Genomic DNA, 14,044 nt, shown 5'->3' with positions numbered 1-14,044 from the left:
ATGGATGTAACTCAGGCAACTGGAGGGTCCCTTCCTTCGCCCAACTGGGAAGTCCTTCCTAGATCTGCCCCAAGTCCTCTCCTTCCTTCCCAGGCCGGGACTGGGGGAGGGGGCGTTCCCTTTAAGGGAGGTGGGGGAGGGGGCTGTGGGCCGGCCCTCCTTCCGCCCCTCCCGGGCCCCCGCCGCCCGGGGCCCCCAGTCCCGGGCCCGGAGCCAGCGCATGCGCCCGCCTGTGGGCGCTGTCCCGGCTGCGAGGGCCGTGAGCTCACGGACCGACGGACCGACGGGCGGCCGGCCGGACAGACGGGGCAGCGCAGGGAGCGGGGACGCGGCGGGACAGCGACATGGCCGGCCACACGCAGCAGCCGAGCGGGCGCGGGAACCCCAGGCCTGCGCCCTCGCCCTCCCCAGTCCCAGGGACCGTCCCCGGCGCCTCGGAGCGGGTGGCGCTCAAGAAGGAGATCGGGCTGCTGAGCGCCTGCACCATCATCATCGGTGAGCGGGACCCAGGCGGGCGGGCGCCGGGCGGAGGCCGAATGAGGGGCGCAGCCGCTCCGAACGAGGGGCGTCCCCTCTCCGGGCGCTCGGACGGGTCTGCCTGGGGAACCTGCAGTCTGGCCTCAGAGAGCGCTATGACCGCGGGGAGGTCAGGGGCTGCTGGCCCAGGGTGCCAAAGCTCCGTGTTCCCACCTCCCGGCCGCCTGCACCTGGGGGAGTTTTGGGTCCCCTCCACCGCTGGACTCTTCCTCCTGACTCGATTTTGCTGCGGGGCTTTTGCAAGGCAGTTACCCTCAGTTTCCTCATCTGTGAAATGGCCATGACTGCAGTCCTGCGATTAGCGCAGGAACTTGACCAGTGTAGGGGCTGGTCAGGCTGCGGCAGGCTGAGCTCCCCAAGTTCTGTACTGTGGGTCAGTCTGAGTACCTACTGTGTGCAGGGTCCAGGTGCCACGCAGTGCAGTGACTTTATTCTTGGAAAGCAGGAGGGCCTATGAGCAGAGTGAGCAAGCGCAGCCTGCGCAGAAGGGACGGAGGTTCAGAGCAGGCAATGACTGCAGGGTTTGGCAGCAGGACCCAGGAGAGGGGGCGGGTTAGCCAGCAATTGGGGGCAGCAGTGGGCAGACCCAGCCTGCAGAAGGCCAGCTGCTCCCTGAGCTGGGATCCTGGTGGGCACTGGACACTCGCCTGGTCTGGAGGCCCTGGACTCCAAAGTCCCCACCTGAGAATGGGTCCATGTCCTGCCCCCACATAGGGGTTTCTGGGCAGGCAGAGAGCTCAGAGGTCATGGGAATGGCAGTGGTATTTTTCCACTCTCTGTCCCAAGTCATGGATACTGACTTGTTTCTTTGTCTACACAGAGTGCCTCTGAGCCCCTCCAGGGAGGGACAGGAGAAGTGGTTTGGGGGGTGAGTGACTGGGGCCTCGACTGTTCTCACCTTACCGCCAGCCAGTCTTCCCGGTCCCCTGCCAGTGAGAGCCACTTGTGTCTTCACTGCCTTCCCACCCTCAGACCCCTGGAGATGGAGAAAGTTTGGGGGCTCAGTAGGGCAGACCCAGGGTCTTCACCTCGTCCTCTCCCACCCCCACATTAGCAGCTCTTCACATCCAGAGTTGCCCCTGAACACAGCCCCTGGCCAGGTCACTCCGCCATCTCACCCCCTCCCCTTAGAATGCTGTCTCCCAGAGCCTGGTCCTGACCTGGCCCTGGGAGCTTCTTGGCCTAGGATGCCCCTGCCTGATGGACGGTCTGCTGGAAGGAAGGGCTGGTTCCAGGGATTTGGCCAGGGTGCTGGTTAGAGCTTTTTCTTGGCCCACACCCTCTCCAGGAACTGTCCTCCAGGGAAGGGGAAGCTCACACCATGAGTGGGTCATAGGATTGAGACCATGCCTAGAACCAGCTACAGTGCCAGGCAGGTGCAGAAAGACACAGCTCTGCCTGGGCTCCTCAGCTAAGCCCAGCATCCTTGACCTGTCTTCCTACTCTATCCCCTCCCCACATCCCATCCTCCCCAGGCCACAGGGAGGCTGCCTGGCTCCTTTCTCCCCAGAAAGGGGCCCTGGTGGTGGTGGTGGTGGTGGTGGTGGTGGTGGTGGTGGTGGTGGTGATGGTAGAGGTGGTGGTGGTGGGAGTGGAGAAGGCCAACTCCACTATCACCCTCCTTTTCCAGGACAGACTCTGTAAGTTTCCCATGCAGCCCAGGTCTGCCCTGACAGCTCCCCTACCCTTCAGTTCCTTCCTGCTGTGCCAGGTCCACTACCTTGGCCTCCAAACCTTGAACACTGAGCCAGGGTGAAGGGCCACTTAGCTAACCAAGGATGCTGGATTCAGCTACAGAACCCAAGCCCGGGGCACTCAGTGGTGGTCTTGGGGAGCCTTGATCTTGGCCTGGCCCGGGGAGCCTTTGAGGATTACAGCAGGCAGGAGGCTGGACGAGGCAGGAAAAAACAAGGAGATCAACCTCAACCAGAAGGTGATAGGAGGTGGGGACTGGGCAGGTGAGGACTGAGCTGGGGTCTGCACTGCCTTCCCCACCTGATGTACTAAGGGTCTCCCCTCCCCAGCCCACCCCACCTTTCTGCCCCAGGTGGGCTCACTCTCTCTCCACCAATACCCTGGGGAGCCTGGTCAGAATCAAAAATGTCTGCAAAGTGTCATATTTTAGCTCTAAAAGTCAAGAACTTGACGTCCTGCTTCCTTTCCTTTCCTTTCTTTTTCTTTCTTTTTTTTTTTTTTTTTTTCTGAGACAGAGTCTGGCTGTGTCCCCTAGGCTGGAGTGCAGTGGCACAATCTCAGCTCATTGCAACCTCCACCTCCGGGGTTCAAGTAATTCTCCTGCGTCAGCCTCCCAAGTAGCTAGGATTACAGGCACACACCACCATGTCCAGCTAATTTTTGTATTTTCAGTAGAGACAGAGTTTCACCATGTTGGCCAGGCTGGTCTCGAACTCCTAACCTCAAGTGATCTGCCTGCCTTGGCCTCCCAAAGTGCTGGGATTACAGGTGTGAGCCACCCTGCCCAGCCAACGTCCTGCTTCATAATCTACCTTGGTTTGTTATTGTTATTGAACATGTTATTTCCAAAACTTCCACAGCGACCCTCCTAGGAGATCCTGTCACTCTCTCCCTCGTGTATACCCTCTGCTCCAGCTCAGACTGGGAATTGAGGCTTTTGAGAATGGGAAGACCTGGAAGGGTGGGCTATGGGCTGGCGTGAGACTCATGTATAGTGTGTTTAGGGCAGTGCCCGCCGGCCACTGCAAGCACAGATGGAAGGGAATCGGCCAGGCTGGAGGAAATAGAACTGGCTGGGGCAGGGGCTCTGCAGGACATCATCACATCCAATATCTGTTCAGAAAAACACCTCTTACTGCCTTATGAAAACATGTTCTTCCTTTATCTCATTTGAATCTCATGCCCACCTTGCAAGGTAGGAATTTTTATACCCATTTTACAGAGTGGAAACTAAGGTTGGAAGTGAAATGATACTGCTCCAAGGGGTAGGCTCAGGATTTGGAACCAGATTTGGGCTCTGTTCCCAGTCCAGTGCCTATTTTATTTTATTTTATTTTATTTTATTTTATTTATTTTATTTTATTTTATTTATTTTATTTTATTTTATTTTATATTTTATTTTATATTTTATTTTATTAAAACAAACTCTTGCTCCATAGCACAAACTATAGTGCAGTGGCATGATCATAGCTCACTGCAGCCTCGACCTCCCAGGCTCAAGCAATCCTCCCACCTCAGCCTTCCAAACACCTGGAACCACAGGTGCCCGCCACCACACCTGGCTAATTTTTGTATTTTTTGTAGAGACTGGGTTTTGCCATGTTGCCCAGGCTGATCTCAAATTCCTAGGCTCAAGTGATCCTCCCACCTCAGCCTCCCAGAGTGTTAGGGTTACAGGCGGGAGCCATCATGCCCGGTCCCAGTGCCCTTTATACTGTTCTGATGCTGGGCAAATTGGGGCCAGAGTCAGAGCCCTGACGGGGGAGGGTTGGGGACCAAGCTGGGAGCTTGTCCAACTAGGCTTCACTGAGCTCCTGCTCCACTATGGGTGGACAAACAGACAGACGGCCAGGGAAGTCTGCCTCCCCATCGGCGGCTGGACTCACAGGGCCTCTCATACTGACCCAGGAACCTCGGCCAGCTCCCTTGCCGGATCCACAACCCAAGGAACACACCCAGATCCTCCAAAGTGGGAGTCCCCCCTGGGTCTGCTGACCAGGCCCTTCCTCTGCTCTCTCTTTGACTTGAGAGTCCGGCTCCTGCAGGGGTTTGTGGGCCAGATGTGTGTTCAGTGACTCAGGAGTTGACATCATGAACCTCAACTCCTCAGGAACCAATCCCTGCTCACCCAGCCTCAGCCAGGACCCTCCCTGGTCTCCAGGGCTGCAGGTGGCTGGGCTTCCCAGAGGGGTGGACCTCTGCAGAACCCCAGCCCCTCCTCACCGGGGCCCTGAGGAGCCATACAACTGTGCAGGGGCTTAGCTGTTCCCCACTACAGTTCCATTTACAGGTGAGGAAACTGAGGCAACCTGCCCTGGGGTCAGATGCCCTCGGTGTGCTCCAGGACCCCAAGGGAAGCCCCAACTATAATTTCGGGGACCTGTCAGTCCTGGGCACACTCATCCATTTATTCAACCACTACATACTGAACGGTGTCAGGCACTGGCTTACATGCCAGAGACACCATGGGGGGGTCAAGACAGACAAAATCCATCTTCTGGTGTGGGAGTCCCGCAACAAGATGAACAAGCTGAATGTGTGTATTGTTAAGTGCTAAGACCAGACAGTCCAGCCAGGAAGGAGGATGGAGAGAGCCAGGGTCGGGGATTGCAGCTTGGAAATGAGCTGAGATCTGGGGTGGGGTTCAGTGTGAGCAAGGCATTGCAAGCTATGTTAAGGGCATTGCCTTTTGCTCTCTGTGAAGCAGGAGCCCTGGGCTTTGAGCAGAGGGATGATGGGATGGGGCTTACAGGGCCCACTATGGAGAAGAGGCAGTGGGGGAAGAAGTGGGAGGAGGAAGGCCGGTCAGGAGGCTACCTGGGTCTCCCCGGGCAAGAGACCACGGTGGCTCAGGGCAGGGCGGTGGCCATGGTGGTGTCAGAGGAGGTTCCATTCCGGATGAGTTTGGAAGATGAGAGCCGAAGGATTTGTGATGGAATAGAGGTCCTGGGGGAGAAAGAGAGGAACCATGGGTGACTCAAGGTTGTGGCCCAAGCAATTGGGAGGACGTTTTGCCATTTATTCATCAGGGAAGATCGAGAGGAGCATTCTGGGGGCAAGGAGGTAAAAGTCGGGAATTCCGTTTTGAACACGGAAAGTCTGTGATGTCCGCGGCTGAGTGGTTCGTTGCATATACAGATTTCATTTAGCAGAGCAGTCTATGCTAGGGATATAAATTTAGGAGTTGCCAGCAGAAGTCAAGGTAATAGATGAGGTCTATCTATCTATCAAGAAAGCATAGAAAGAAAAGAGAAGAAGCCCCAGGACTGAGCCCTGGGCACCCAGTGTCTGGAAGTCAAGCAAGATAAGGGATTCTGAAAAGGAGAAGCCGGTAAGGCCGAGGGGAGGCCAGGAGGCCGAGTGAGGAGGAAGCAATCCACTTGCCACATGTTGCTGATGCGTCAATAACGTGGCCTAGGGCTCGACTGTTGCGTTTGGCAACGTGGAACTCACCGGTGACCATGAGAAGCCTCAGCCAGGAGACAGGGCCCTGGGCGAGGTTTGCTTGGCTGGGCTGGCTGAGCCGAACGAGCCGGAGAGGGCCGCACACTTCCGCTCATCTCCTGTCTCCAAAGGAAAGTGGGTTAGGCTGGAGTCGGGTGCCGGCCAAGTGGCAGTTCCAGGCACATCCTGGATGTCCCCACTCACCTCCTTGGGGTGCTGCCCAGACCTCAGTAGTCACAGTCAGCATCCCGGAGAGGTACCTGACACAGGCTTACCGTGAGGATGTGAGGACACCCGTGCGCTTGAGGCGAGTAGGCTTCACCCAGGCCGCAGCCGATCACCCCGGGGTGTTGGGGTCCCGGGTGGCTCAGGTCTCAGAGGAAAGATGGGGCTGCCTAGGGGGTCTCCAAGGCAGATGGCAGTGCGTAGGGAGATCCAAAAGCACTTCCCATGGCCTCTGATGTGCCAGACGGGATCAAGAGAATGCCTGCATCAAATAAAAGCATCCCTTCCCAGCCATCATCCAGGTACCGTGGCCGTGGGGCGATGTCCAGATTGCAGGGGCCAGGGTGGCTGGTCAGGAAGAGCTTCCTGGAGGTGGTGCTGCTTCAGGGAGACCAGTGAGCTGGGCAGAGGCCTGCCACAGTGAGGGACATGTTCCCTGAGCAGACTGTTTCCTTGGCCCAGCACAGATATGCAGGGTGCATCCCCTCTGCTGAAGTCACGGTTGGACTAGCCCTCTGCTGCCCCCTAGCCCAGTGGCCCCACCTGGCAGATGGGGAAACTGGGGCTCGGAAGGGCAGCACTGGCCTGAGTCACACAGTCGGGTCCAGAATGTGCTTCAAGGCATGAGGACTGGTGCCAGTGTCCTGGCCTGACAGGCCCTCCCTGCCCCCTCCCCAAATCAGACTGCACATTCCCCACACACCACAGGAGGTGGCTCACTCTGCGACTCGACCTCCGTGGGCCGCCCCTGTGACCTCAGTGGTCTGCCGCTGCCTCCAGAAATAGGTCAGCATGCACCGCAGCGGCCACGGGGAACAATGGCCCTTTCTTCGTTCCTCCAAGAAGCTGAGTAAGCCCCATCAGGCCAAACATCTTAATGTGATAAAAGCTACCCAGCGAAGGCTCAGGGAAGAGGGGCGGGTGGTGGAGACTCTGGGAAGGCCGACTTGGGGGGCAGTCACTTCCTCGCCTACCTGCCCGGAGCTCTGGCCCACGGAGGACCTGCAGGGACCACTGAGCTGTCATCCCACCGGGTGGACAGGAACGTGGAGGCCTCAGAACCTACATCTCTCTGGTCAGCCATGGGTCAGACACCCAACAGGGGCTCAGCGGTATCTCCAGGCCCATCCCGTGCCCCCTCATCCTGTTCCACTCTGAGTTCCTGCCCCTCTAAACCAGGTTCCCCCAACGGCTGGGCTTCTTCATTGCTGCTCCCCGAATCAGGTAGATCTGCTTGGCTGAAATACAGAGTCTGGGAAGGGAGACCCTCCGACCTTCCCACACCACTGGGAGGAACCCAGGGCAGCCCCCTTCCAGCTCCACTAATCTGGCCAGGTGTGGTGGCTCATGCCTGTAATCCCAGCACTTTGGGAGGCTGAGGTGGGTGGATCACTTGAGGTCAGGAGTTCGAGACCAGCCTGGCCAACATGGTGAAACCCCATCTCTACTAAAAAAAAAAAAAAAAGAAAGAAAGAAAGAAAGAAATCCACCGGTCCCTCCCATACCCCTCCTATAATCATTAGAGCATTGGAGGCCCCCATCCCTGTCCACAGCCCCCTCCCTCCTCCGTGCCCAAGCCCGCAGCCCCGGCTGCTCCATGCAGTGCCCCACCCATCCTTCATGGTGCCGGGAGCAGCCAGTGTGCGGAGTGCGTGATGCGATTTTCTGCCACCTTCAAACATGATCCTGAGGGAGATGCTGCGAGTGGTCTAGGCCCAGAGGGAGAAACCCCTGAGGACCTCAGAGACACTGGCTAACGCCTGTGGTCCTTTGAGCCACAAGGGAGAAAGTCCTGAACTGTGGCCTGAGGCCACGTGTTCCAAACAATAGTGGCCTCTCCACCCCTGGCAAGCCCAGTATCTGAGTCTTCAGCCACTGGGCACAAGGCTAGTGATACAGCCCTGGAAGATAGGGTGCCAGATGTGGCTTACCCCGGAGCTCCACCCAGGAGGCCCCACCAAGCAGAAGCATGGTGGGCTCTCTGCAGGGTGGGTGGCTCAGGGCCTGGGATGCTCCCAGCGTGAACATGCTCAGCTCCTTCCAAGGCCACCCAGCCCCCGCTGGCTTCCAACCTCCCTGGCTTTCGGCAAATCCCAGTCCGCCAGGTCCTGAGAACAGAGGCCCTGCTGCCGGATGGAGGGAACTCAAAGGCTCTTTAGAAACCTTACAGCCCACCCAGGCCTGGGCCCCTCTGCTAGATGAGAGAGGCGCTTCTCTCTCTCCCCCGAGAAGTAGACTAAGGGTACAGCTTACCTCTGGGGGCTGGGGCACAGGAATTAGTTCGTCCTTATCTGGATGTATTTAGGGCTCCTGGGATGTGACTGGAAAACTGAGTGGGGCGTCGTAGCTGTCCAGACTGGAAATCTGTGTCGGCTGGGGGTGGGGGCAGTGGGGGAGCACCGTGGACAAGGAGTGAATACAAATTGGCAGCTACAACCGTGTCCTTATCCAGCCCCCTGCGGGCCCGGCAGGTGGAGGAGGCGGGCTCCCGCTCTGAGGGAGATGGACCCGTCCTCTCAGGACCCGGTCTGGTGTGGCCATTGCATAGAGAACGATGTTGGTCCTACCAGGACCTACAGGTTCTACCAGGGCTGTTTGTTCATATGGTCTGAGGTTCTGGGTTTATTTCTTCTTGGACAGGCCCTAGTGCAGATCTCTGGTGAAGTTACCGGATTCATGTGCACAGATGGTGAGACCCATATAACCCAGAACATTGTCCCTCTTTGCGGAGCTCAGGGCTCAGCAGGCACTCAGAGTCTTGCTCATCCTGGGAACCTACTCTACAGACCATAGTTGGCCCCCCTGAATGTTTCCCATCATGTCAGAAAGCAGAGGGGCTGGGCACAGTGGCTCTCGCCTGTAATCCCAGCACTTCGGGAGGCCGAAGTGGGTGGTCAATTGAGCCCAGGAGTTCGAGACCAGCCTCAGCAACATAGTGGGACCCCTCAACTCTACAATTTTTTTTTGATTAGCCGGGTGTGGTGGCACTCACCTGTAATCCTAGCACTTTGGGAATCCAAGCAGGGAGGGTCACTTGAGCCCAGGAGTTGGAGACCAGCCTAGGCAATATAGTGAGAACCTGTCTCTACAAAAAGTAAAAAAAAAAAAAACCTGGGTGTGGTAATACACCTGGAGTCCCAGCTACTAGGGAGACTGACGTGGGAGAATCTCTTGAGCCCAGGAGTCCCAGGCTGCAGTAAGCTATGATCGCACCACTGCACTCCAGCCAGGGTGGCAGAGCGAGACCCTGTCTAAATGAAAGAAAGAAGCTGGGCACAGTGACTCATGCCTGTAATCCCAGCACTTTGGGAGGCCGAGGCGGGTGGATCACTTGCAGTCAGGAGTTCGAGACCAGCCTGATCCACAGGGTGAAACCCCATCTCTACTAAAAAAGTACAAAAAATATTAGCCAGGCGTGGTGGCTCATGCCTGTAATTCTAACTACTTGGAAGGCTGAGGCAGGAGAATTGCTTGAATCCAGGAAGCGGAGGGAAGGAAAGGGAAGGGAAGGGGAAAAGAGAAAGGAAAGGAAAGGAGAAAGGAAAGGAAAGGAAATTGAAGTAGGAAGAGAAGCCCAAACCTGATGTGGTCAAGGAGGGCTTCATGGAGGAGATGCTATTTCCTGAGCCACTCCATGAGTCTGGACTTTGGCCGGTGGGAAAGTGGCAGGAGAGTGGTTGAAGTCCTGTGTTAGGGGCCAGCTCTGGCCAGTGGGCTGGATGGAGGCAGGACAAGTGGCTGCATGCTGATATGCCTGGGGCTCTGAGGTAGACGGGAGGGCTGAGCATGGGCCTTGTGGGGTGCCTGAGGAGCCACCGTCTGCCGTCGCTCAGGTGGTTCAGCCTCCTCACTTTGCTGGCCCCGCCTCACGGGGGCAATGGAGGGCTGAGAAAGTCAAACAGGGCCTGTCTCTGGCAGAGGGGCCTGGCCAGCTGAACGAGGTGCCATTTCCTATGTGAGGGACTGAGGAAGGGGCAGATGATGAGCCCAGAATGGCACTTGCTGGGCTTGGGGGCCAGTGGCATTCAACACCTCCAGCCCACCTCCTGCCTCCTCCTCCTCCGGGAAGCACCCCGGGCTGTCTTCCTCCTGGCAGCAGGCAGATCCCCACACAGAAGGCCGGGCTGCGAAGGGGACCCCAGGCCTGATGCCTCCCCATCTCTCCCCCTGCAGGGAACATCATCGGCTCGGGCATCTTCATCTCGCCCAAGGGGGTCCTGGAGCACTCAGGCTCCGTGGGTCTGGCCCTGTTCGTCTGGGTCCTGGGTGGGGGCGTGACGGCTCTGGGCTCCCTCTGCTATGCAGAGCTGGGAGTCGCCATCCCCAAGTCTGGCGGGGACTACGCCTACGTCACAGAGATCTTCGGGGGCCTGGCTGGGTGAGTGTGGGGCACCAGCGGGCAGGGGGACACCCTCTTGGGAATGGGATGGCCAAATGAGCCCTGGCATCAGTTTCCACTCCTGCTTCCGGCTTCCTAGGGAGGTCGTGGGGGTGGATGGAGAGAAGGTGTGGGGGGTGGATGGAGAGAAGGTGTGGGGGCTGGATGGAGAGAAGGTGTGGGGGTGCTGGACAGCCTTCTGAGGACAGGGCAGGTGGAACTGAGGCCCACTCCACCCCACTGATGTGTGCTGGGCACTCCTGCAGGCCCCTGGGCCTCTCTGGATCTCCTTTTAAATAGAGGTCCCTCTGAACCCCACCCCCTGCCTTGTACTTAAGGAGGGGGGATTCTTACTGTCTGAAAACCCTAGGTAATGTGAGTGCCCAGGCGAGGAGGGGCCTCAATTTTGGTAAACCCATATGTTGCATGAGGAGCAAGGAAGGAAGTGTGATATTCTTACCATATACCCTGCATAAGGTCCTTTTTTTTTTTTTTTTTTTTGAGACAGAGTCTCGCTCTGTTGCCCAGGCTGGAGTGCAATGGCGTGATCTCAGCTCACTGCAACCTCTGCCTCCCAGGTTCAAGTGATTCTCCTGCCTCAGACTCCCGAGTAGCTGGGATTATAGGCGCCCGCCACCACGCCTGGCTAATTTTTTTGTATTTTTAGTAGAGACGGGGTTTCACCATGTTGGCCAGGCTGGTCTTGAACTCCTGACCTCAGGTGATCCACCCGCCTCAGCCTCCCAAGTGCTAGGATTACAGGAGTGAGGCACTGCACCCAGCCAGAGGTCTCCTTTCCTTAGCACCCTGCTATCCTTCCTTCGTTCACCAGGGAATATTTGCTGAGCACCTACCGTGAGCCTGGGGGTGGGGAGGCAGTGATAGAAAGGTCTGTCCCTGTACTCAAGCTGCTCACAGAACAGAGAGGAAGCAGCCCCTTAAATGGGATTAAGGCCTGGATGAGCCTTGCTTTGAGAGTGTGTACAAGAGGCAGCAGCTACACAGCAAAGAGAACGGTGTGCGCCATCTAGGGAGGACTCCCAGGAAAGCAATGCTTGCCCTAAGGCTGGGAGGAAGAAGATTTTCCCCACCGGGCCTAGCTGACCAGTGAGGAAAGCATCCCAGGATGGGGGAAGTGTGAACAGAGGGTGTGGTGGCCCAGGTGAGCGCAGGGAGTCTGCTGTAGCTAGAGGTGAGGTCAGGTTGGGTTTACGGCAGGTGCCGGGGCTTGGAGAGCATCAGGGGATTGAAGCTGTTGTATTTGTCCAGCTGCGTTGTGCCAAGAGCTGCAAAGGTACAGGCAGATTCTAAAATCGTTTAGGAGCCTGATTCGAGAGGATAGGGCAGCCAGCATAGCAGAGGGAGAGGTGGGTGCAGCGGAGGTGGCACCCACTTCCCTACTGAGAGGCTCCTAGATGGTCTGGGGCTCAGAGGAAAAGTCTGGGCTGAAATTTACAAAGTTTGGTTCTGAGGGATATGGGCCGGGGACCCTTAACTGGGCAGCCTTGGATGGGGAGACGTGCCAGGGCTTGCACGCTGCTGTGGGTGCATCTGTGGCAGTCTCCTCTGGGGAGAGGGTCCTCAAAGGGGCTGGGACCCAAGAAAGCAGAATAATCATGCTTCGGGCCTGGAGAGGACGTTCGGGAGGGAGAAGAGGGCCAGGACCTCATCCCTGGGCACGGAACATGCGGGGATGGGCAGAGGGGATGCCTGGCAGGGGAGGAGGGCCATGGAGCTAGGATGTCCCAGAAGCCCAGCAGGGATGGTTGTGCAGAGCAAGGGGCAGGTGATCCAGAGATGGCTGATGTCCCCGATGAGGCAGTCCTCTCCCTGGAGGGCTGGCCAGGGGCTAGGACCACCCCCAAGGGCAGACCCACCCCTGGGTGCAGGAAAGCCCCTGAGAACAGGTCAGACTCACAGTCTGGGTGCCCTGCAGAGGCAAGATTTAGGTAGAAGGGGCATCCATCACTCTCCACCCCCAGCTAGGGCTCTTGGTAAGGTCTAGTCTCTGCACCCCATAGGTCTCCCTCAGGGGGAACACAGCTCAGAGTCACCCATCTTCAGCCACAGTACTCTGCGAGAGCCAGGGCTGAAGCCGAGAGGTCTGGGGACAGGGACCCTGGCTCAGGAGACAGCCTCCGTCCAATGGGGGGCCTAGTTGTTATTAGAAAAGCATTTGGTGACTGGGCGCAGTGGCTCACGCCTGTAATCCCAACACTTTGGGAGGCCGAGGCGGGTGGATCACGAGGTCAGGAGATCAAGACCATCCTGGCTAACACGGTGAAACTCCGTCTCTACTAAAAATACAAAAAATTTGCCAGGCATGGTGGCAGGCGCCTGTAGTCCCAGCTACTTGGGAGACTGAGGCAGAAGAATGGCATGAACCCGAGAGGTGGAGGTTGCAGTGAGCCGAGATCATGCCACTGCACTCCAGCCTGGGTGACAGAGCAAGACTCCGTCTCAAAAAAAAAAAAAGAAAAAAGAAAAGAAAAGCGTTTGGTGCCTATGTTGTTCCCAGCGCCTGCCCCACAGCAGCCTTGTCAATGTTTAAGTACGGGTAACACCTTCTCTGTTAAAACAGTCTATCAATGCAGCCGCAAGACCTCAACAAGGTCAACCCTGCCTCCCTGGACCGGTGCTGGCCTCTGGCAGCCTCGCCAGCCCCCGGGCGCCAGGCCCAGGGCAGCCCTGCTGCACACATCAGGGCCAGGTTGGCCGGGAAGGGCTCTGGGCAGCTTGAGCCACTCCCGCCCCTGCTCCTTCCAGCTTTCTGCTGCTCTGGAGCGCCGTCCTCATCATGTACCCCACCAGCCTTGCTGTCATCTCCATGACCTTCTCCAACTACGTGCTGCAGCCCGTGTTCCCCAACTGCATCCCCCCCACCACAGCCTCCCGGGTGCTGTCCATGGCCTGCCTGAGTAAGCATCCCCTTTGGCCCACTGTCCCCAGATCAGCCACCTGCCCGGGCTCCATCCTGCCCTGAGCAGGAGGACAGAGGGGTGAAATTTCCCTTCAGAAAATTCCAGCTGCTATAGGGGATGCCATTCTCGGGCCGCCTGGGCTGGACTTGGCCATGGTCCACTGTGAAAGGTCCCGGCCTCGGCGCCCACCCCCGCCTTCCCTCCGCAGTGCTCCTGACATGGGTGAACAGCTCCAGTGTGCGCTGGGCCACGCGCATCCAGGACATGTTCACAGGCGGGAAGCTGCTGGCCTTGTCCCTCATCATCGGCGTGGGCCTTCTCCAGATCTTCCAAGGTAGGGCCGAGTCGGGGTAAGGGCCGGGCTGGGGAGATGGTGCTGACCCCCGACTTCTGGGCCTCCAGGACACTTCGAGGAGCTGAGGCCCAGCAATGCCTTTGCTTTCTGGATGACGCCCTCCGTGGGACACCTGGCCCTGGCCTTCCTCCAGGGCTCCTTCGCCTTCAGTGGCTGGAACTTCCTCAACTATGTCACCGAGGAGATGGTTGACGCCCGAAAGTGAGTGGGGCCCCCAACTGGGCCCTGGGAAGCAGCCAGGCCCTCTGGTGGGACAGGCAGCCTCTCCGCCCAGCCCCACTGCCACCCAAGGCTCGGGCTGGTCCTCGGTGGCCCACGCCTGTTGCCCTGCAAAAATGGCCCTGGGAAGAAAGCCGGGGGGCTTGCATTCTAGCCTGGCCCTGTTCTCTCTGGCTATGGACACGTCACAGCCCCTTGCAGGGCCTCAGAAAGGCTGAATATCATCATCCTGCTGTAAATAGATCCAGAGATTTGCATTTGGCCTAAAAT

At 57.9% G+C, this 14,044-nt stretch overlaps 1 protein-coding gene across 6 annotated transcripts in view; it reads left to right on the top strand.

The window, feature by feature from the left end:
* The first annotated feature begins 197 nt into the window (after positions 1 to 197).
* SLC7A10 (solute carrier family 7 member 10) overlaps positions 198 to 14,044 on the top strand; it is a 17,187-nt gene continuing 3,340 nt past the window's right edge. For 4 of the 6 annotated variants that reach the window (XM_006723284.3, NM_019849.3, XM_011527119.2 and 1 more), the window contains exons 1-5: positions 198 to 495; positions 10,075 to 10,279; positions 13,046 to 13,197; positions 13,409 to 13,534; positions 13,603 to 13,756. In XM_006723284.3, coding sequence (XP_006723347.1) covers positions 345 to 495; positions 10,075 to 10,279; positions 13,046 to 13,197; positions 13,409 to 13,534; positions 13,603 to 13,756 — 788 coding nt within the window. In that variant the 5' untranslated portion in view covers positions 198 to 344. The remainder of the gene's footprint in view (positions 496 to 10,074; positions 10,280 to 13,045; positions 13,198 to 13,408; positions 13,535 to 13,602; positions 13,757 to 14,044) is intronic. The other 2 variants (XM_024451610.2, XM_011527120.2) reach the window with 1 other exon arrangement.

This window comes from Homo sapiens, chromosome 19 (genome assembly GCF_000001405.40).
Source record: "Homo sapiens chromosome 19, GRCh38.p14 Primary Assembly".
NCBI classification, from domain to species: Eukaryota; Metazoa; Chordata; class Mammalia; order Primates; family Hominidae; genus Homo; species Homo sapiens.
Note: the sequence above shows the minus strand (reverse complement) of the source record. Positions and strands in the feature narration are given on the sequence as shown.